This window comes from Homo sapiens, chromosome 4, assembly GCF_000001405.40.
Source record: "Homo sapiens chromosome 4, GRCh38.p14 Primary Assembly".
Classification (NCBI taxonomy): Eukaryota; Metazoa; Chordata; class Mammalia; order Primates; family Hominidae; genus Homo; species Homo sapiens.
Genome location: NC_000004.12, coordinates 154,356,706 through 154,378,639, shown reverse-complemented (window position 1 = coordinate 154,378,639; position 21,934 = coordinate 154,356,706). Strand labels below are relative to the sequence as shown.

At 37.8% G+C, this 21,934-nt stretch overlaps 1 protein-coding gene and 1 pseudogene across 2 annotated transcripts in view, besides 1 other annotated feature; one reads left to right on the top strand and one right to left on the bottom strand.

Annotated features, from left to right (window-relative positions):
* The window catches only part of DCHS2 (dachsous cadherin-related 2), a 260,058-nt gene that overhangs the window by 113,160 nt on the left and 124,964 nt on the right, over nucleotides 1–21,934 (top strand). For both annotated transcript variants that reach the window (NM_001358235.2, NM_001142552.2), the window contains exons 2-3: nucleotides 1,196–1,387; nucleotides 12,199–12,430. In NM_001358235.2, the coding sequence (NP_001345164.1) occupies nucleotides 1,196–1,387; nucleotides 12,199–12,430 (424 nt within the window). The remainder of the gene's footprint in view (nucleotides 1–1,195; nucleotides 1,388–12,198; nucleotides 12,431–21,934) is intronic.
* LOC100419960 (kelch domain containing 4 pseudogene) lies at nucleotides 4,291–4,851 on the bottom strand (annotated as a pseudogene).
* Nucleotides 10,244–10,313: an enhancer, noted in NCBI's record as "active region_22073". NCBI's record gives its function as "activates an Ori minimal core promoter by ATAC-STARR-seq in GM12878 lymphoblastoid cells {active_cell/tissue: GM12878}" and the evidence as "EXISTENCE:reporter gene assay evidence [ECO:0000049][PMID:35858748]".

The window sequence follows — 21,934 nt, the reverse complement described above, 5'->3', positions numbered from 1 at the left end:
CTATAGGTTGTAAGTATGTGATGTACTTTAAGCTCTTATAAGAGTACGTGTTCTGTAGCACGGAATCCTTCCTACCTTCCTTCCTTCCTTCCTTCCTTCCTTCCTTCCTTCCTTCCTTCTTTCCTTCCTTCCTTCCTTCCCACCCTCCCTCCCTCCTTCCTTCTTTCCTTCCTTCCTCCCTTCCTTCCTTCCCTCCTCCTCTTTTCCTCTCTTTCTTTCTGTCTTCCCTTAAAGTGCTGCTTTTATTGTAAGTGCTATGTAGGTGTTTGCTCTTACTGTTAGTTGGGTTGTAAATTAAAAGCATTATCTATCATGAGCCTATGAGCTTGAGAATTTTTTGAGTTCTATAGAGCCTGTTGTATTTCTCACTATATACTCCCACAGTTAGTATAAATAAGTTAAGTGCTTTCATAATTTCACTTGCTTCATCTTTTCTATCAGGCACAGGATTGCTGGTAACATAAGTGGTACGTATGGCAAAATAAGACGGTGCCTTTTCCTCTGGGCATGTCAGTGTTTGTGCCTGTTTTGGCGAGCACAGCATGGGCTGGATTTCATTCCCCATGTACCTACAGGCACCTGCAGACTGAATGCTACACCACTGTGCAGGGCCCTGATTGAGACATTACTCCCAGAAGGAAAGCTGGCCAGGGAGACTCAACTCTCACATTCCAGTGTGAATTCTGTCACTGGGATTGGGTTTCTAGTAATGGTGGCATTTACTGTCTTGATTTCTTGGCCCTCCCCTTGCTGCTCTCAAAGGTGGGGGGCATCAAGCCTATCACTTGAAGGCCTAGGTATGAGAGGGAATCAACAGCTTGGCTGTCAAGTCCTTAATCCTATGGGTATTCTTAAATCTTTGAGATTGGATGAGATTAGTTACGTATAGTGAATGAAATAAGAAGACTATAAGTGAATGAAATAAGGTCCTTAGGGACCTCAAACTTTCAGAGATCATCTGAAAAGATAGGAGTGGGCAAGAGATATTGAAAAGGAGAACTCACAAAGAAAGGAGAAAAGTGAAGGGGGAATTATCACAGAAGGTAAGCGAGGAGAGAGATATGAAACCAAAGCCTAGGCTTTGTGAATAGCTATGGGGGTTATGTGGTTGTGCAAATTGTTTTAATAATTCATGACTGACTGAAAAGTAATGCTAGCATTTCTGTTTCCTCCTGATCACCCTCCTGTCTCACAGGTGACAGCCTCTGATGCAGATTCAGGACTCTATGGCTTTATTGAATATTCTCTTTATGATGGATTCCTGAGCTATGAAGCACCTCAGGCATTCCGGATCGACCCTCATGATGGGCAAATCTGTGTTTCTCAAGATATCGACAGGGAAAGGGATCCAGCTACCTATGATCTCCTGGTGGAAGCTAAGGATGGGGTAAGTTTTTATGTATGAAGTTTATTTTAAACATAATCACAAGTGAGCCACTGTGTATACATCACAGAGGACCAATGATGATCAACAATTGGGTCATTCTGTTTCATGTGTCACTACCTCTTTCCTTTGCTGAAGTTTTTTGAAGCAAATATCCAGCATGTTATTTCACCCATAAATAATTCAAGAATATCTCTAAAAATGACTTTAAAAACACAGAACTACAAAACATTAACAATAATGCTTTAATGATATCTTATATCCTTTCTATGTTAAATTTTCTTGATTATCAAAACATGTCTTTTATAGTTGGTTTCTTTGAATGAAGATCCAAATAAGTTCACAATTGATTTGATCGATATATTCTTTAAGTTTCCATCTGTAACAGTCAGGCCTCTTACCTGTTCTCCTATGGCTTTTTTAAAAAACCAAGTCATTTGTCCGGTAGATTTTCCACATGCTAAATGTGGCTGATTACATCCTTGGGATTCATTTACTGTGTTCTTCCATTCCCTCTATTTCCTATAAACTAGCATTAGAGACAGAGAGCTGATTGTTTTCAGATTCATTTAGGTGATGCCATTTGCTTCTTATTGCATCAGCAGACACATACCATTATTTTCTTAGAGGTTGAAAAATGGTAGCTTTTGAATTCTATTATTCCTTTTGCATTTATTATCTGGAATTCTTCAACTAAGGAAAATGTTCTCACAACAACTATTTGATTACTCTTAAGTATAATTCATACAGGAATTGCAGGATAAGGCTTGATTATTTGTTTTTATTTTACCAGTTTTTTTTAATAGTAACTTGCTGTCTTAATTATCTCCAAAGGTAAACAATAATGTCTTTTTCCTAATTTGAGTATAAATTCCTGGATTTTAAAAAATTTGATGTATTTCAATACATTGCTGACCCTATCCTTTCTGATGTTCTCATTGGCCCATTCTTGATCAGTGAAGGCACCTTCAGTTTGATTCCTTTGTCTTTTTTTGTTGTTAAACTTTTTAATTGACATATAAAATGCATACAGAGAAATGCACAAATAATAAGTGTATAGCTCAATGGATTTCTGCAAAATCAACAGACCCATAAAAGCAAATGAGAAAACGTTACCGGAACCCAGAAGCCCCCTCTTTGCATCTTGTTGTAACTGTCCTCCATCCACCCCTCCATGCCCCCATCCCTGCCTTTTTAGAAACCACTGTTGACTTCTAACACCAAGCATTAGTATACCAATTTTTTTAACTTTCAGTGAATGGAATCATACAGTATGTGTTTCTGTCGAGTTTCTTTTGCTGAAAATTATTTGCCGGAATCATTTATGCTGTTGTGTATAGCAATAGTTCACTCATTCTCATTGGCTTATAGTATGCCTTTATGTGAATATACAATAATTTTAACCTGTTCTATAGTTGGTGGTATCCATTTTAGGCTATGCTTCTTTTAACATTCTTATACTTGCAATATGGTGAACAAATGTAAGCATTTCTCTTGAGTATATACAAAGGAGTAGAATTGCGCTCCCACCAGTGAAGTATGAAAATTTCATTTGCTACACATTCTCCCTAATGTTTGATATTTAATGCCTTTTTTATTATAGAAATAATAGTACTTATGTAATGATATATCACACTGGGGTTTTACTTTGTATTTGTTTAATAACTAATGAGGTTTTTTTTCATGTTTATTGCTATTCGTATAATTTGTGAAGTGTCTATTCTTCACAGAAGAAAATCCTTTATTCATTTTCCATTGTTATTGTTGGATCTTTTTCTTACTGATGTGCATGAGTTCTTTATATTTTTGGCCTGAAAGTCCTTTTTTCGATATATTTACTGCATATATTTTTCTCCCATTCCGTGGCTGGCCTTTTCTATTCTTAATGGTTTCTTTTGAGGAACAGAAGTTCTTCATTATAATAGAGCTTAGTAGTTTCTCAGTTTGCTTCCTTTTATAGCTAGTGATTTTTGTGTTCTTTTAAGAAATATTTGCTTATCTTAGGGATATGAAGATGTTCTCTTATTGTTTTCTTCCAAAACTTTTGTTTTGTTTTACCTTTCATACTTACTTTTTTTCAATCTAGTGGGAAGAAGTTTTGTTATTTTTTCCCCTATGATTAACTCAGCACCACTTACTGAAATGGTTATTCTCACTTTTACCTATTTATCCACCTTAGTGCTAGCAACATCTCTCTTAACTATTTTAGCTTTATCATAGGTCATGGTATCATACATTCTTTTAGCTTTGTTCTAACTTAAGATTACCTTGACTATTCTTGACCATTTACATTTCCAAATACAGTTTAGAAACAACGTGTTCAATTTACATTGTTTACAGAAAAGGTGGCCTACTATACACACCGTTCTGCGCTTTGATTTTTTTTCACTTATTTCATTTTGGAGACTTTACTTATATTTTTCACTTATACATTTTGAAGACCTTCCTTGTTTCTTTTTCATCTGCTTACTACTCTTTTGTATAGACAGACCCTACTAACACCTCTCTGGTCTAATCATTCTCTTTTGAAATTAGTGAGAGAATCCACCTATTTAAGCTGTGAATTTTGGGGAAAAAATGAGTCTAAATATATTACAAGTAAACATGTAAAAATGAACATGAAGTACAGCCCTTTATATTCAATAAATATTCATGATCTGTTTGGTTAGATTTTTGCCAATACCTTACTATGTAGTTTCAGGAATCCCTGACTCTATGTAAGAAAATATGTAGGAAACAAAAAATAGGAGTAAACAGAATTTATATTAATTCAAGTATATGTAATTATTTGAAGCCCAATAGATGCACACCCAAATATTAATCCAAGCCTTAAAAATATATTCTTGATAGATTTTGAGACAATTGTATAATGCCATCCTAGAATTGAATAATGGGTTTAAAACACAACTCTCATGAAAACCACCAAAAAGAATTAGCTGTGTCTTCCAGGCTACTGTCTGCTGTCCACTGTGATCTAAACAAGCCCCTGTTGATTCAACTAGTTTCCAGGTTTTGGTGGCCAGATGCAGGACACAGAGATCCTTGTAGTCGTAGAACTGCTGTCCATCAGGAGAAGCAAGCTCCCCTGCAAATGCTCATAACCTGTCTGTCATATCAATGCACCACCACAGCCTGGAAAGCACAGTGCTCCAGAAGTGCATTGGGAATTTTGACTTTAATCCAGGTGTCTTTTCTGGTATTGTAGATATAGAGGTGGTTATATAAGCAAGTTTTTTTTTTTTTTTTTTTTTTTGCTATTAAAATATCCACCTCCAAAAAGGATCAATTCATTGTTTTCAGGATGAGCAGAGAATGACACATTTAGCCCTGGTGAAGGTAAGGAACATGATGTTTCTATAATCTGAGTCTTTTAACATCTGGTGCCTGGAAATGGGTTGTCAGAGCTTCGAGTTTTCCTTCTCCCCTGAGTGCTTGCACACCTTCTCCATCTTGGCTGTGATTTTCTCCTTCTTGCCCTCTTGCCCGTCTTGCAGGTATGAGGCTGAATGGAGATCCAGACAGGGAGCTGTGTGCAGGAGGGAACCCTCTTGGAAGCAGGGCCCCTCCTGGAAGCAGGACCCCTCCTGAAGTAGGTTTATGTGAAAACGGGACCTGGCACAAGCCCAGGGATGCATTTTAAAAGACAAATTCTAGAAGAGCCTCCACATCACAGGCTTTTAACAAATCCCCAACCTTCACTCTGGACCTAAAACTGCCTCCAGCATTCCTTATGTTTGCCTCAGAATATATGGAGAGCAAGCAACATATGTGTTTTCATGTGAGTGTATGTGTATGTATACACATATAGTATGTATATATGTATGTAAACATATATACAAATACAAGGTTATCCAGTGTGCAGCATTTATTCTGTTGACTGCATAATCCTCATGAATTTCTTCTGTGATGAACTGAGTTTTTACAGGGTGACTTCTGCATCTATCATAATTATTCTTTGCAATATTATTTAGCAGTACATGTCCCTCAGAAATGCATAGTCAAAAAGGTTGGTAAAGAGAAAGATGACAAAGTTGGTAATGACTCAGTAGTCTTCCCCTGAAAGCAACGTAGACTGCATTCAAAGAATAAATTAATGCAGACAGGACATTTTAGGTTTACGTTGTTGGATTCTAGGCCATAATGAGTTTATTTAAACCAATAAACTGAACCTTGACAGAAGTCCTTTAACTTTATGTTGTTACCTTGACAATCTCTGGTTTTTCCTCTGATTCCTTCTCTTTGTAATAAATGTCCTGAAAGCCCTTTAGAAGAAAATTGCTGAGAACCCATTTGCTGGTGGTTACTAAGAGATTTTTATCTGCCAGTAGAAGAATTTTTCTTGTAAAATACATTGATGTTCGTTGCTACTGCTCTATTTATCCTTGTGAAGACTGTCAATATTTTTTCAACTGAGTCACTTCTACTCTACTGATATTACTTCTGAAATACTCTATTTTTGCTGCTGCTGCTACTGCTGCTGCTATTTATCTCATAAGTCATGAGAATGCTATAAAATTACATAATGTAACCAAACAATTGAATTACATTGGCAATCAAGTGGTTTTTCACAAGAAAGCTCTACAATTTAATTATTCCATGCTTATATCTAATTTTTTGTTTCCTTTTCCCATTCATTTTTACCAAATAGATTTTTTTTGGTGTATGTGCTTATTAACACTCTATCTCTATTTTTTGTTACATCCTGGATTCTGTAGCTGACATATGTGTTTGAGATAAAGCTATTTCAACTCCATCTCACCACTGAAGGTTTAAGGGAGGATTTTGTCAGACGAGCAAGAAAGGAAGTAAACGGACTGAGCTCTTCACTGTTCTTTACATTCATGAGAAAAGTTGGCTACTGAAGTTGTGCTCATAGTTTGTGTGCAATGCAGTTACTCCCAAAAAGTAAACTTGCTGAGTAAAAAGGCACATTCATTTTCATTTTAATAGATTATGTTCTTTAACTTTCTAACAAATGTTCAAATGCTTATTCCTGTCTTTCGTTTCCTTCATTAGCACCCTCCACCTGTTCTAGGAATGAGCAGTTGCCCCATCCCCCCATTGTCCCGTGTTTTCTAACTAAATTGCCTGGACCATATCTTAGATTTCCCATCATTCTTTAATATATGACCAGGATGTATCCCAAATTATCTTCAATACTCCTTTACCTCCTTCTAATCTCTAAAAGTTTAAGCATCCAAGCCATTTATTATTATCCATATTCTCCTCCCCACCCTGCCCAGTTCATCCCTTAGTTTAAATCAATCTCTTACTGATGTGGTTTGGATCTGTGTCCCATCAAATCTCATGTCGAATTGTAATCCCCAGCGTTGGAGGTAGGGCCTTGTGGCAGGTGTTTGGATCATGAGGGTGGATTTCTCATGAATAGTTTAGCACCATCCCCCTCCGGTACTGTTCTCCTGATAGTGAGTGAGTTCTCATGAGATCTGGTTATTTAAAAGTGTGTAGCAACACCCCTCTGCCTCCGCCTTCTCTCTTGCTCCTGCTCCTACCACTTAAGATGTCTTGCTCCCCCTTTGCCTTCTGCCATGATTGGAAGCTTCCTGAGGCCTTCCCAGAAGCTGAAGCTGCTATGCTTCCTGTTCACCTGCAGAGCCATGAGCCAATTAAACCTCTTTTCTTATAAATTAATCAGTCTCAGGTTTCTTTTTTTATAGCAATGTGAGAATGGACTAATACACCTACCTGCCTTCTCTGCCCTTCGAAATGCTTCTACCATGCCCTTTGGAACTCGTGGTCCATTATTTAGCAAACTCCTTTATGAACTTAAGCTGGTCTCTGATTGTTTCTTTAACTTTCGGCCCTGATTAAAACAACCTACCCCACAAGGATACCCGTTCCTTTCTGCACTCTCACAAGGAAGCCCATAGTCCACCAATCACAAGCTGACAGGAAGTGAGTTGGGTGCCCTGCTTGTTGCCCAGGGCAGCATCCAAATAATTTCTACTCCTTTCTCCATCAAAAACGAATCCCTTTTGAAGTTCTTGTTGTCTGACTATACCATAGATACTTCTCCTCTTTTTTTTTTTTCCTGTCATGACTTAAACCTCCTTATCACTTAGGACTTTCACACTTTGTTCACAGTCTTCCTCTTCACCAGTTTCCTCATCATTCTGGGAGACTTTACTATCATTTGCTGAACAACCCAGCACCCTGAGCCTCTCAGTTCCTTGACTTTCTCATTTCCAAGGATTGTCACCAGTAATTGCACAGCTTTGATATCTTGGCTTCAAGCATGCTGTTCCTGATAAACATTTTTATCTTTCTGTCTAATTTACTGTAGCACGTCCACTTTAATCAATAATTCTTCTCCCATGTTAAGATCATTGATTTGTTACCCATCACTAAAGTCACTCAGTTGCAAACTCCCTTTAGTTTTCCCATTCAATAGAACTCTCCTGGTAAAACCCCAGCCCTACGTAAATCTGACGCTGCATTTTCTGCACTGCCATCTCAGCAGCTGAAGTACTTGGAGAAAAATAACAGGTCTGCTTGAGAGAGAAAGGTCTTACCTTCCTACCACCAAATCCACTAACCTACCTGCGTATCAGCTCACATTCTTTGCTTTCTTTTCTATTATCTTTTTAGAGATGTCCCTGCTTGCATCAAAAGCAAATCTCTCTACTGTTTAGGGTCCCATCCATTCCAGCCTTCTTACAGATAACATTTCTATAATGATTTTCTCTTTTTTCCTGCATCATTAATTTATCAAGCTCTTTTGGATGACCCTCATAAGCATACAGGGCATAATAATAGTCTCTATCTTAAAAAATACTCTGGATTCCTTTTGATGTCATGTACCTTTTCAGAAAACCATTTTATTCTTCTTCTTTCTTCACAGCAAGTCTCCTAAAATAGTGGTCTCCATTTCCTCACTTTTCAATCTTTATTTGATCTATTTTTCCCTCTCTACCTCTTCTATAAGACTGCTTTTCTCTACATGGTTACTGTCGTGCCATAACCTGGGATTCTTTATTTATTTTTATCTGATTCATCCTCTCAATGAATTTGAAAATATTCTTTAGATGCTGCTTCTCTTGGATTTGGTGATGTCACAACTTATGTTTCTTTTTTTTCCCCTTTAAGAAGCTGGAACCTCATTTCCTTCCACCTTTGTTTATTGAATCATGAAATATAGACTGGAGTTCATTGACATAGAAAGCTCACTGGAATGAAACCACAGCTCACAAGAGCTGAGAGATGTGAAGGAGAGATGTTATTAATATTCTACTATTCAGGAGTCCCAGAAGGCAAGAACAAAGAGAATGGAAAGCAGACAATTACCAAAGTAGAAGTAACGGTAGAAAATGTTCCCTACCTGCTGATTGCCCTAGGCGACCCTCCTGCCTCCAATATTATATGTTTTCAAGCTTGGAGCTTTCCCAAACAACTTTCATCTTTTATAGTATAACTTGAAGAAATTGGGTTTCCTACCATAATCCTCACAATTAAATGCTGAAAATGAAATAAAAATGCCACATGAATCATCAGTGGAAAAAGAAATGATAAGACAAAATTAAGACATACTCATGCATGGAATTTATGGGATGTATTAGCTACCTATTGCTGTATAACAAATTATTCCTGAATCTAGCAGCTTAAAATAGCAAACATTCATTATCTTATATAGTTTTTAAGGGCCAGGAACCTGCAAGTGGCTTTGCTGGGTGGCTCTGACTCAGTCTCTCATGAGGTTGCATTATCGAAACAGTTTCCATGAGCTGGACAAAAGTTTAGCTACACAGCATTGGGAAGTGCACACTCTAAGTGGATGGAGAAAATTAGTTTAGATCAGCTATTCCCGCACTGTGTTCTGTGGGAAACTGGTTTCCCAATATGTTTCTTTCAAAGAGCATTCTGGGGCCTAAAAAGAGTGGGGAACACCTCAGAACTCACTCCCTCTAGAAATGTATGTGCAAAAGGCTCTGTGAGAAGTTCTGAGGCATAGAATGCATCCACTTAACTTGGTGAATTCAGCATTTTCCCCCCTTTTTGTCTGAGGAAGTTCTCTACCTTTTTTGTAAAGATGCATCTCTTCTTCCCTATCCCAGATACCTCTTTCTAAAATCTAGATTTGATCTTGTCATTTCATTGAGGATAGCAATAGTTGTCCCATGTGGGTGTTTAAGAAGACAACATTAGAATTCTGTCCTTTTACATTTTAGTTTTCTGATATTTGTAATATAAGTAATACATTAGCACAGTAAATGTATATACAGTTTATTAACAGATAAAAAATATATATTAAGAATGTACACACCACATTTTATACTGATGGAGTAGAATAAATCTGTCCTCTTTAGCACTTAAATCAGGTGAGAGGAATCTGACTGCCAAGCCTGTCCTCTGGATTCTGCCCAGCCTCTGTCACTAAATGCCCAGCCCTCTCTAGCCCCACTAGTGTGCTTACCCTACCGGCAACAAAAATGTATTGTTGGCCAGGCATGGTGGCTCATGCCTGTAATCCCAGAACTTTGGGAGGCCAAGGTGGGTGGATCACCTGAGGTCAGGAGTTCGAGACCAGTCGACCATCTCTACCAAAAATACAAAATTAGCCGGGTGTGGTGGTGTGTGCCTGTAATCCCAGCTATTCGGGAGGCTGAGGTAGGAGAATCACTTGAACCCGGGAGGCGCAGGTTGCGGTGAGCCAAGATCGTGCCATTGCACTTCAGCCTGGGCAACAACAGAGAAACTCCATCTCAAAAAAAAAAAAAAAAGTATTATACGTTTTCCACTTTGTGCATCTAACATTTGCTTATTTTTTACAGCACTGCCTGATTTAGGATCTTTGTTCTTAAATATCTTAAGCTGGGGCAATATTCATTTCTTCATATTTTCCCCACTTTTTCATTACTTCTCTTACCTCAACCCTAAGTGACCTCTTGAATTTGAGGAGAAATAAAAAAGAAAGAGGAAGGGGAAAGGAAAAGGGAAAGCAAAACTGAGAAGAAAGGCAGTTTCGAGCAGCAGCAGGGTCTGTGGCAGAGGTGAAGGAATATTTTCTATAAGCTTATCACCAGTGTGCAGTCCCCTCTTACTACGTCGAACCTGGAGACATACAGGTTACTTAGGGTGGCTGCAGATGTAGGGCGACCCTGCATTTTAAGCATAAAGGCCAGATAGATGAACTTGCATTGTTCTTTGTGGAATCATAACCAGCCCCATTTCTCCTATTCTAATTGATACCCGGCATGGCTCTGGCACTTTATTCAACTCAGAACATGGAAAATCAGACTATTTCTAAATTATTTCCCCATCATTTTTTAGTCCTCAAAGCCTGGAGTACAAGGGACCTCAGAGCTCAGAGCTCAGAGCAGGACAGCCGTTTCTGGGTTTGTCTTACCTTCCTCCCATACAATCTTCATTCTTGCCCTCCCTCTCTCCCTGTCAACAAGTGCTTCCTCTCTGCATGGCAGCAGTTCTCCCTCTGTCCCTTGCCAAATCTTCTTCCTCCTTGTCATTTTTCCTCCTTGCTCTGTGCCTCCCTGCCAGAGTAGAAAAAGGAAACAAAAAAGATGAAGAGGGGGAGGATACATGAGTGAGAAAACCCAGGCTGTTGTGACTTACCAAGGATTTTTGTCAAAGATGAAAGTGTCAAAATGTACCAGATAGAAACAGAAAATGGTGCTTTAAAGTGGGAACATGTGTTTTACTTTAGAAAAGTAAAAATTGCAGAGGATTATTTTCTTCTATTTCATTTGCTCTCTTTCTCCTTGATTTTAGATGGAGGCAACACCAAAAAAGCAGTATGGGATCCACTTCTCACTACTTTAGGTGCTGCATTCCCTTCTAAAACTTGAAAAATTCAGAATTCCCAAACAAATCTGGCCCCCAGGATCTGGGATGAGTACCTGCACTGCTCCTGTCCTCCTTCAGGCCCCATCCACTCTGGACTTGATTCAAAGAGCCTCCTCCTGCCCGTTCTCCCTCCTTCCACCCTGCTGCTCTTCGGTCTGTTCTGAACACTGCAGCTAGAGCAGTGTTAACATCTCAGTGAAATCAGGCCACTCTTGTGCTCAAAGCCCTCCTGTGAGGAAGAACCATGTCCTTCCAGAGACCTGCAGAGGTCCCTAGGACTCACTCCTGCCTCTCTGAGCTCAGCCCTTCCTGCTTCCTTGCTGCGGCTGAGCAGGCCTGAGAGGTACACCACGTTCCTGCCTTAGGGCCTTTGGCTCTGCTCTTTCCTCTGCCTGTTATTCTTTCCTTTCTGGTAACTGAAGTCTAGCTGCCTCATGTGGGTTGGTCTGCACACCAATGGTACCTTCCTAGTGAAGGCTTCACCAGGGCACCCCCCTGCCCATGCTCCCTCACACCTTCTTCTTAGCACTTACCAGCATTCACTTAAAAATTATCTTAGGGATAAAAGTGATTTTGATTTCTTTTTGGACATCAGGACAAATTTCCTTGAATGTATTTGGCCTCTACTCTGAAATTTTTGCCTCACAGCTGCTCTAAGTGGAAATCTCATTCCATGCTTAAGAATCAGCAGTGAAGTGTACATACCATGCTGTTACCTATGAATTCATACATCAAAGTTGAAAATAAAATGAATATAAAGACGTGTTTGTGTGTGTGTGTGTCTGTGTGTGTGTGTATATATACACACTCTTTTGAAATGACAAAATGTGTATGTATGGGGGTGTGTGTATATGTGTATACACACATATACATATACAAACCCCCACATATTCAAATTCTGTTGTTTCAAGACTATTGTAGGGCCATTGTCAATTATTCTACATCCTAGTGTTCAGCAAAAACCCATTTGTAATCACCACTCATTCATCCACCAGGGTGGGCTAAGTGCCCAAGCCTTTGTTCGTGTGGACCTGGAGGACGTGAATGATAATCATCCTGTGTTTAACCCATCAACCTATGTGACGAGCATCAGTGATGAGACCCAGCCAGGCACCGAGATCATCAATGTTCTTGCCACTGACCAGGACTCTGGGATATATGGGACAGTGGCTTATGAGCTTATTCCAGGAAACGTGTCGTCCCTTTTTACCATTGACTCCACCACAGGTATGTGATCTTGGAACAGTTTTCATCCTTTGGCTATAAAGTTTCTGCTTAACTACTTAACAGCCAGAAAATTAGAAAAAGTGACTTTTTTTCAATAATGGGGGTGTTGCAGGACTCACTTAACCTTCTAGCAGATGCTGAAGTATATTGAAAATGGCTGAGGCTTTGTAGTGGGTTAGACCTGGATCTGAGTCCCAGCTTTGCCTACTACTGATCTTGTGGTCTTTATTGGCCTCACTGTCCTTACCTTAAAATTGGTGTTGACTGGGTGCGGTGGCTCACACCTGTAATCCCAGCACTTTGGGGGGCCGAGGTGGGTGGATCAAGAGGTCAGGAGTTCAAGACTAGCCTGGCCAAGATGGTGAAACCCTGGTTCTATTAAAAAAAAAAAAAATTAGCCGGACGTGGTGGTGGGCGCCTGTAATCTCAGGTTCTCAGGAGGCTGAGGCAGAGAATTCCTTGTACCTGGGAAACCGAGGTTGCAGTGAGCTGAGATCACGCCACTGCCCTCCAGCCTGGGTGACAGAGAGACTCCGTCTAAAAAAAAGAAAAAAAAAAGTACTGTTATCTGGGCTCTGTGGCTGACTCCTGTAATCCCAGCTACTTGGGAGGCTGAGGTGGGAGGATGGCTCGAGGCCAGGAGTTTGAGGCTGCAGTGAGATATGAAGCTATGATCAGGCCACTGTCCTCCAGCCTGAGTGACAGAGCAAAACCCTGTCTCCAAAAAAAAAACAAAAAAGTAACACTGATAATATCTATGTTGCAAAGTTTTTGTGAGAGAACTAAAGACAGTAATTTATGTAGAAACGGTTGGCCAGTATTTACCTTGCAAATGTTAATTTCCCCTTATTTGTATGATCATGCCATCTGAGGGTGACTCGAGGGTGACTGAGCCTCATTTGGATGTATTAATAGCTAAGATTAGTGCAAAGACATTTTTACAGGCGTCCAAAGTAGATCCTTTTTTTTTGTACTAGGTCTGGCATTCCCTTAGTCTCTTTGGGTTTTAGTTTCCTTGTTTTAAAAATGATACCTAAAGCTCCTTTTAGTTCTCTACAATGGTAATTGCATATCTGCCAAAGAATCCCAGTGGGCAAGCTGTCTTTTAGAAATCATGAATATTTAAGAAGTTACCTTCCATTTTCTATTCATTAGCTTGTTGCTAACAAAATATTGGTTTAAATATTTGATTATAAGAAAATAAAACATTTCAAAAATATAATATGACATTACAATACTTTTGAGATACTTAGAGATACTCTGGTCCAAAAATGAGGCTGCAAAAAAAGAAAAAAAAAAGAATTTTTTTCTTTTGCATTTTTCCACCTGATCCAAACAGTGGGTAGAATGTGTTTCTATTGTAATGGTAATGATAATGTCAGATGCTACACTAGACATTTTCTGTACATTGTCTTATTGGATCTTCACAACATGCTTTGTAATAGCCATATACGGTAGAAACAAATGATAATTTACACAGGAAATCTAATGTGCTATGTGAGTGTGCCCTCTCACCCAGCCCCATTAGGTAGAGAGCCGCTGCTTCTGCCTGGAAACTGTGCCTTGTCTGGCTTGTGCAACTGGCCAGGGATTAGTTGTTTATACTGGCAGTCTTTGTAAGGCAAAACTTTCCTTGCTCAAAATAATACACTGATGTGGCCCCTTTAACATTTCAAAGATCAGAAGAAAATACTTTTGCGGGAAATTAGTCTGTTTAATCTCAGCTTTTTCAAAATTCATCTTAACTGAGGACTTAACTGCCTATCAAATTGTCAGGCCCTCTAGGGCACTAGCATTGCCAAAAATATATAGGTCAGCCAGTAATCAGGGCACAGGATCTAAAAGCATTTAACAGATTGTTTTAAAAAGACATTCACACACTCGTCATTCAGTTTTCCCTGGAAGATCTGGAAGAATGAGTTATACTGTATTCTGTTTTTAGAGGAGATCTCTCTTGCTGTCCTGGCCGAAGCCAGACTCATGCTTCCCTTCCTGGCAGCGACTATAGCACAAATGCCATTGTTAATCATGGAAAACACTCTGTGTGGGTGATTATCTTAGGGAACTTTCATGGAATTTTATTTTTAAGCAAAGACCAAATTTATATGGAAATAGCCTTGGGTTCTTATTGTTGGCGGTTTTGATACCCGTGTATTTAGATTGAAGACATTTCTCAGTCAAATAGTGCTTGGAATTTGGTCGCACTTAATCATAACTCATGAGAAATTCATGAGGACTGGTAGTGCTTTACTTTAACCTTTAGAAGAGAATGAAAAAGCATCGTGACTAGCTATGGGAAAAAGTTGTCCGGTGAACAGGCAGCTGCTAAGTTGAATGGTTGAGTTCTGAAAGTTCATCTGTTGGTTGACAGCAACTGAAAACACATTGTATATAATTATGGCGTACAAGGTGGTGTTTTGATGTATGTATATTGTGAAGCGATTAAATCAAGCTGGTTAACATAACCATCACCTCTCACACTTAGAATTTTTTGTGGTGAGAATATTTAAGACCTACTCTCTTAGTAATTTTCAAGTATAGAACATATTATTATTAATACATTATTATTAATGCTATAAAGTAGATCTTCAGAACTTACTCATCCTGTCTAACTGAACCTTTGTAACCTTTGGGCAACATCTCCAATTACCCCAGCCCTTGGCAACCACCATTCTACTCTCTGTTTCTATGAGTTCAGTATTTCTAAATGCCACATGTAAAAGTGAGACCATGCAGTATTTGTCTTTCTGTGCCTGGCTTATTTATTTAGCATAATGTTCTTGAGGTTCATCCATTATTGTCACAAATGATAGGCTGTCCTGTTTTAAGGCTTAATAGTACTCTATTGTGTATATATACTACATTTTCATTATCCATTTATCTATGGATGGACCCTTTGGTTGATTCTATATCTTGGCTATTGTGAATAATGCTGCAATGAACATACTAGTGTAAATATATCTTTGACATACTGATTTTTTTTCCTTTGGATATATACTCAGAAGTAGACTTTCTGGATCATATTTTAGTTCTATTTTTAACTTTTAAAGGAACCTCCATACTGTTTTCCATAATGACTGTAACACATTTTCTATACAAGGATGTTCTCAAATAATAGAACAAGAAGCAGTATTAGAATATACAGTTGATTCTTGAACAATGCAGAGGGTAGAGATGCTAACCCTCCACATAGTTAAAAATCTGTGCATAACTTCTGACTCCCCCAAAACTTAACTGCTAATAGCCTATCACTGACTGGAAGTCTTACCCATAACATAAATAGTGGGTTAACACATCTTTTGTGTGTTTTATGTATTATATACTGTATTCTTACAATAAAGTTAGCTAGAGATGGGAAGTTATTATTAAGGAAATCATCAAGAAGAGAAAATATATTTACTATTCATTAAGTAAAGGTCTTCATCCTCATCATCTTCATGTTGAGATGGCCGAGGAGGAAGAGGAAGGAGAAGGGTTGGTCTTTCGGTCTCGTGGGTGTCGGAGGTGGTAGAGACGGAGGAAAGGGCAGGCAGGAGAGGCAGGCATACTTGTAACTGTTATTGAAAACTATCTGTGTATAAGTGGACTCACGCAATTCAAACCCATGTTATTCAAGGCTCAACTGTAGTCTTCCTCTTCTGGATATTTTCTTTCAGGAATCTACATAAAGCTGGACTTTCTTGCTCCCATCATATGGCCGATCTCTACAGAGGCTGCCAGTGTAAACACAGTCCTAAGAAAGTGCCCCCATCATATATTTGTGGAATAAATGAATAAATAACATCTAGAAATATTGCAAAAGTAACTTAAATCCTTCCTACAGCCTCTTAAAAATTTCATGGGAGTTTCATTGATATATGGAGCAAAACTTTATTTAAAATCCTCTTTCTGAATCACAGCATGGTAAGTGACTCTATGGCCTATCCCCACGTTTCCTCAAAACTCTCCCTAGACTTTCTCTCCAGCCTACCTGTGCTGGCACTTTACTTTTTGTTACCTCCCTTTGTCTCTGGATTTTTCTATTCTCTTCCAGAATACCTGTCTGGCCTTGACAATGGGAATTGTTCAAGCTAGTCTCAACACCTTTTAATTTTCCTTCTTCCTTTTTATCCTAAGTTCTTATATAGGCAGGTTGAGATGTTATGTCATATGAGAAGAAGATTGAGAATTGATGAGCCCATTTATACATTGCTACTTCTTCCTGAATTACTCTAGAATTCTCTCTTAGAGATTTCATTTGCACACTGGTTCATTCATTCTTTCATTTTGATGCTTTCTTTATCAGACATGCTATTTTATAAACTTACATGCTTTCTGTTATAGGCTTGTGTTTTCCTGAAGACAAAAGATTTCTCATTGATCTATTATGCCACAACCAAGACTCATGCATTTAAAAATAGAGCTGTTTGACTTACTGTGTTCATCTGGTATGAAAAATGTTTTGGAGAAAACTAGAAGGGGGTGTGGCGATGTCATGGTTGTTTTCTCTTGTGGGTTTATCTTCCTGTTCTGTTTCTAGTTTTCTGGGTTTGTTGCTGGTTCAAAGAACATTTTTGTAAAATGTGTTTAGGCGCCACGAGAGAGATACTGAGTTGAGCCTTCATTTCTCTTATTCTTAGTTCACTGGCTTTCTTTGATGTGGGCACAAGGCAGACCACACTGTTTTGAGTTTTAACGGGAAGAAACACAAGAGACATATTTATTAATAGCTCTTTTTTCATGTATTTTTAATCCCATTTTGTGAATTATATGTAGATTTCTTCCTCCATCGTTTGAAGTGCTCTCTTTAGTAACATTAAAAGAGCAGTTCTTTAGCTTTGGGGTTTGTCCTATTTATTCTGTAGTTTTACACTGGAAGAAACTACTTTTTTTTCAACTTTTATTTTAGATTCAGGGGATACATGTGCAGGTGAAGTTACCTGGGTATAATGCATAATGCCAAGGTTTGAGGTTTGAGGAATTCAGATCATTTTAAGGCAACAGGCAGGTTTCAAGCTTTTGTGCTGGTCATTTATTTTCATCCCAAACTATCTCTTTTATTCAGGCAACCATTGGTTAAATCTTGTGGTTTATCTCTTTTTCTATAGAAGCATGTTAATGATATAAATGCAAATCAATAAAAGTCATAAACAGAATGTAGCTTATCTATTCAAGGAATAAATGGAAGCCAGTTCATCTGTTCAATACATATTTATTCAGTGCTTATGATGCAGCAGGCCGTGTTCTAGGTGTTTGGGATACATCAGTGAATAAAACAGACAAGAATCCCTGCTCTTGTAGCACTTACAGCAACAAGCTTATGTGGCTTAGCCTTTGTCTGTTCTATGTTTAGTTGTGGTGTACACAAAATCCAAGTTTAGCACTACAGAAAAACAAGTAATTGAAAGGATATCAAACTGCCAGACAAGGGCAGCTGTTCCTCAGTGTTTAGTTGTAATCTTTTGTTTGTATGGGGTGTGTGATTTTAACATAGACTGTAAGTAATGTAGTACAGACTTGTTTTCTGTATTTCAAGGGCAGATTCTTTTCCAATGTTAGTTTTATGCTCAGATTTTATACCATGTAATGATTCTTGTAATTCTTCACAAACGCCACCTTCCTACATTTAACGTTGAACATTCTGGTATACAGTTAATAAATTAATACCACACCTCATTTCATAAGGGATGTGAGCCTGTTCCTGCCAAATAAATGATGACTTTCTCTTATTTGCAAGACAGAGTCTAAAATTAATCATGAGCACCTAATCAGTGTACGTTACTTTCATAGGAAACAAAAGCATGTTAGAGAATTTCTTCATTAGGTTTCTCGTACCAGATCACAGACTTATAAAGATGGAAAGAACCTTACAAATTAGCTGCCTCATTTAGTGGAGGAAGAAATTGAGGCTGGAAGGGATTTGATGACTTATCTAAAGGTACACTGTTGGTGATGGTGGCATTGGACTTGAATCCCATTCTAAACCTGTGATCTGTTCCTGTGCTGCTCTGTCTCAGATAATAATAGTTTTCAGTGTCTTTTCCATATGTAATATTGCCTATTTGAGTCTTACATTAATTACATGGGATAAACATGGCAAATATTTTTATGTTCATTTGCAGATTAAGAGACTGAAGACTCTAAAATTCTTAGTGACTTACTCAAAGACACAGTAGTAAACCTGACACTTGAATTTACTTCTTGCACTTCCATTTCAAGGCTTGTTTCATAATTATGACTTAAAAAAAAACACTAAAGATGAAGCTAAGATAAATATAGGTTCTACTGATTCAACTAAATAAGATAGAAAAATGACCTCTCATTGTGACAGGAATTTCTTTATAAGACTACCTAAACACCAAATTATCTGTTGAATTTTATTTACTCTTTCCAATTGAGTAAGTAGAACTCAGTGGACTTTTCCAAAACAGGTACATTTTTTTCTTAAGAATTTTTTAAAATTCTCAATATGAGATAGAATTTCAAATCCATTCTAGTTTTTTCAGCCAATACTACTTAGTCGCTAAGATTTGTGTGCAAAATAAATAGCACAGTGTAATCTATTTGGTAAATAAGTTTTTATATTCTCACAAACTGAATATAGGAGATACTTCATAAATATCTACAACTAAGAAGAAAATGGTATTGATATCCTGTAGCTTTTGGTTTGTATCTGTTTGTGAGAGAACCTCACTTTTAAACTCCGTATCTGTTGAAGGTCATGATTTTGTGCTTATTTTTGTTGCTAACTATTTCATGGCTTATAATTTTAGTAATGATTTACTGATTATTTTCTAATTATGAATTGCTACCTTGGTTAAAAATTCCATTTTCCAGGATATTTTATTCTGAAAGTCAGTATTGCTTAGTTAGTAGAAGAGCATGATTATGTACGTATATATATATCTTTAAGTTCACTTAGTACTGCATCTGTTCAAAACATTTTTTGATTACAACAGTTTCCTCTATTTAAATAAAAAGTGACAAGGTGAAGAGCATAGACAAACATTATATATGATAATTGGTATGTATAAATCCAAGCAGTCATTAAAATAGAAAATAACCAGTGCTCTGTAAGTTAATTAATGACGTTTTTTAAAGTTAATGTTTGTCCCTGCACTGGTGGTTAATTACCATTTGCAAGTGTCATGAAAAATGTGAGCTAAATAATCACTGTACTTTAAAGTATTAAAATATAGTGTCATAAATTTTACTCTGACCAATATATAGGCAAAGAGAGTTATTCATTTTATTTATGATTTTATTATTTATTATTAATAAATAACATGAATTATGATACACACATATATTACATATATGCATATTTATATATAGTAAACAATTAATAACAAATATGGGAGTTACATGTTTTCTAGCCCCTCAACTTCTAATAGAGAGCTTAGTTTATTTAAGCATGTTGGATTCAAATATACAATTACTAGTCAGTTATACTCAATAAAGTTGAAAAAAAAGTTAGATTCAAGTAAATAGGTTTTCTAGCTCCTGTTTATATATAAATGTTTAAAAAAGTGAATGTTTGAAATATTCAGCATATATAATATAGAACAACAAGCTTTATCCTAATACTTCCCTTCTTTTCTAAGTGATGAGTGTTCATTCAAAGAAATTTAATGAACCTAGATGTCCATGCCTAACATTTGCCTCTCTTTGTCCCACTTTTCTTAAACTTATAAGCCACCTTTTGGATCAGCACATTTTTCAAAGATATTTTTGTATTTCAAGTACAATTAAGTTTGTAGGCCACAGAGTCACTGTCTCATGAAGGTGCCTGTATTTCTTTCATGAAAAAGAAATGCTAAGGGCAAACTTTATGTATTGATTATAGTAACTTCTGCAACTAGTGTAGGGCTTCCAAAGACAATGCTGGAAAATCTAAAACAGTCAGGCAAGAGAGCATAAATAAGATGGAACTTGAGCACAACCTTGCAGGATAGCTCAGATTTGGATAAGCGAGTTGGGAAAGAATAGATAGATTCCAGAGAGGAAAACAACACACATGAAGATAGAAATTATTAAGCATTTGTAATGAGAAATTAAAATATAAGTTTGGACTGAGAAACTAAGATACATACAAATTCTACATTCCACAGAGACTTTATGCAAGATTTACAAAGGAGATCCACCTTGTCAATGGTATAAAATGTTGATAATTTGGAGAGAGCTGCTGTTGATTTGTGGGTACCAGAATGGGGTACCAGCACCTTACCAGCTACTCAGAGAACTTACTATGTATTCCCTGCAGTCTGCTGGCTAACTGTAGGCTCATGTCTGATTCTCACCTGAGAAATCTGAAGAAAGGAAAGACTGACAGAATAAAGGAGAAGTTTCTTAAGTGGAGACACACTACATTCCAGGAGTTTGTAGGTGCAAAGAGTATTTAAGTTTTTCTTCTGAATATGGATCATTTTTGAGGGAGAGCTAGTATAGAGTTGTTTTTAAGCCCTGTCCAGAAAGGGCCATACTGCAAGTGATCAGCAACCATCTGGGGCCAGTGGCATGAGCAGTAAGAAGAATTTACCAAGACAGTTTGTAGGTAAAGAAAGGCAGGATTATTCAAGAAAGTATGAAAATACATTGCAAGTGTACAATGGGCAGGTCAGCAAGAAAGGAGCTGACTGTAAGGAGACAAAAGCTTGCTGGGGATTTTGTGTGATGTGCTAAAGAAGGCTTTGTGCAGTACTGATAACACCAAGGTTGCAGTGAACTAACCTGCATTTTACTCTCATCCAAGGGTCTGGTGATAGCTGGGCTCAGAAAGATTGTGAATTATTTGCACAAGAGTGCTACGTGTCCTGGACTATGAAGAAAGGCAGACTTATAGCTTACCTGCTTTTTCTTTTTGCTTTTCCCTGCTCCCACCAGCCTGGCTCCTTTTCCCTAATTAGGACTCTATAGTCCAGAGGTAGAAATTCTGAGTGCTGTCAACTTTTCAGCAGACAAGGAAGTAATGAACAGTTTAGAGATGTTTTTACCTCTGCTAAGGCACTTCAAGTAGAGGTTAGCCTTCTCCAAAAAAGCCAGAGTCAGAAGCATTCACCAAAAAGGCCATGAAAGCACCTATATGAGAAAGTGAGTTTTAAACAACTTCGCAGGCCAAAGGTTCGTTGATGTTAGATTATTTTACTAGCGCTTGTCAAGAAAGAACATTTCTGGGCCTCTCTCCTCCTCTTCTCCCTTGCTTTAATCCTGGATGATTCAGAGATTTAGTTTAACAAAAAGATGAAGGAAGAAAACAACTACTAGATAAGGAAAGAGAGAAGCCAACTACTTCTGACCTGTAGCCTGTGCTCCTCCAAACTTAAAAGTAAGTTTAGAATTTGGATTATTATGTGGTCCTTTATATTTAATTTTAGTCATGCATTGCTCAAAGATGGGGATACATTCTGAGACATGCATCATTTGGTGATTTCGTTGTTGTGTGAACATCATAAAGTGTACTTACATAAATCTAGATGGCATAGCCCAGTACACACCTAGGCTATATGGTATAGCCTATTGCTCCTA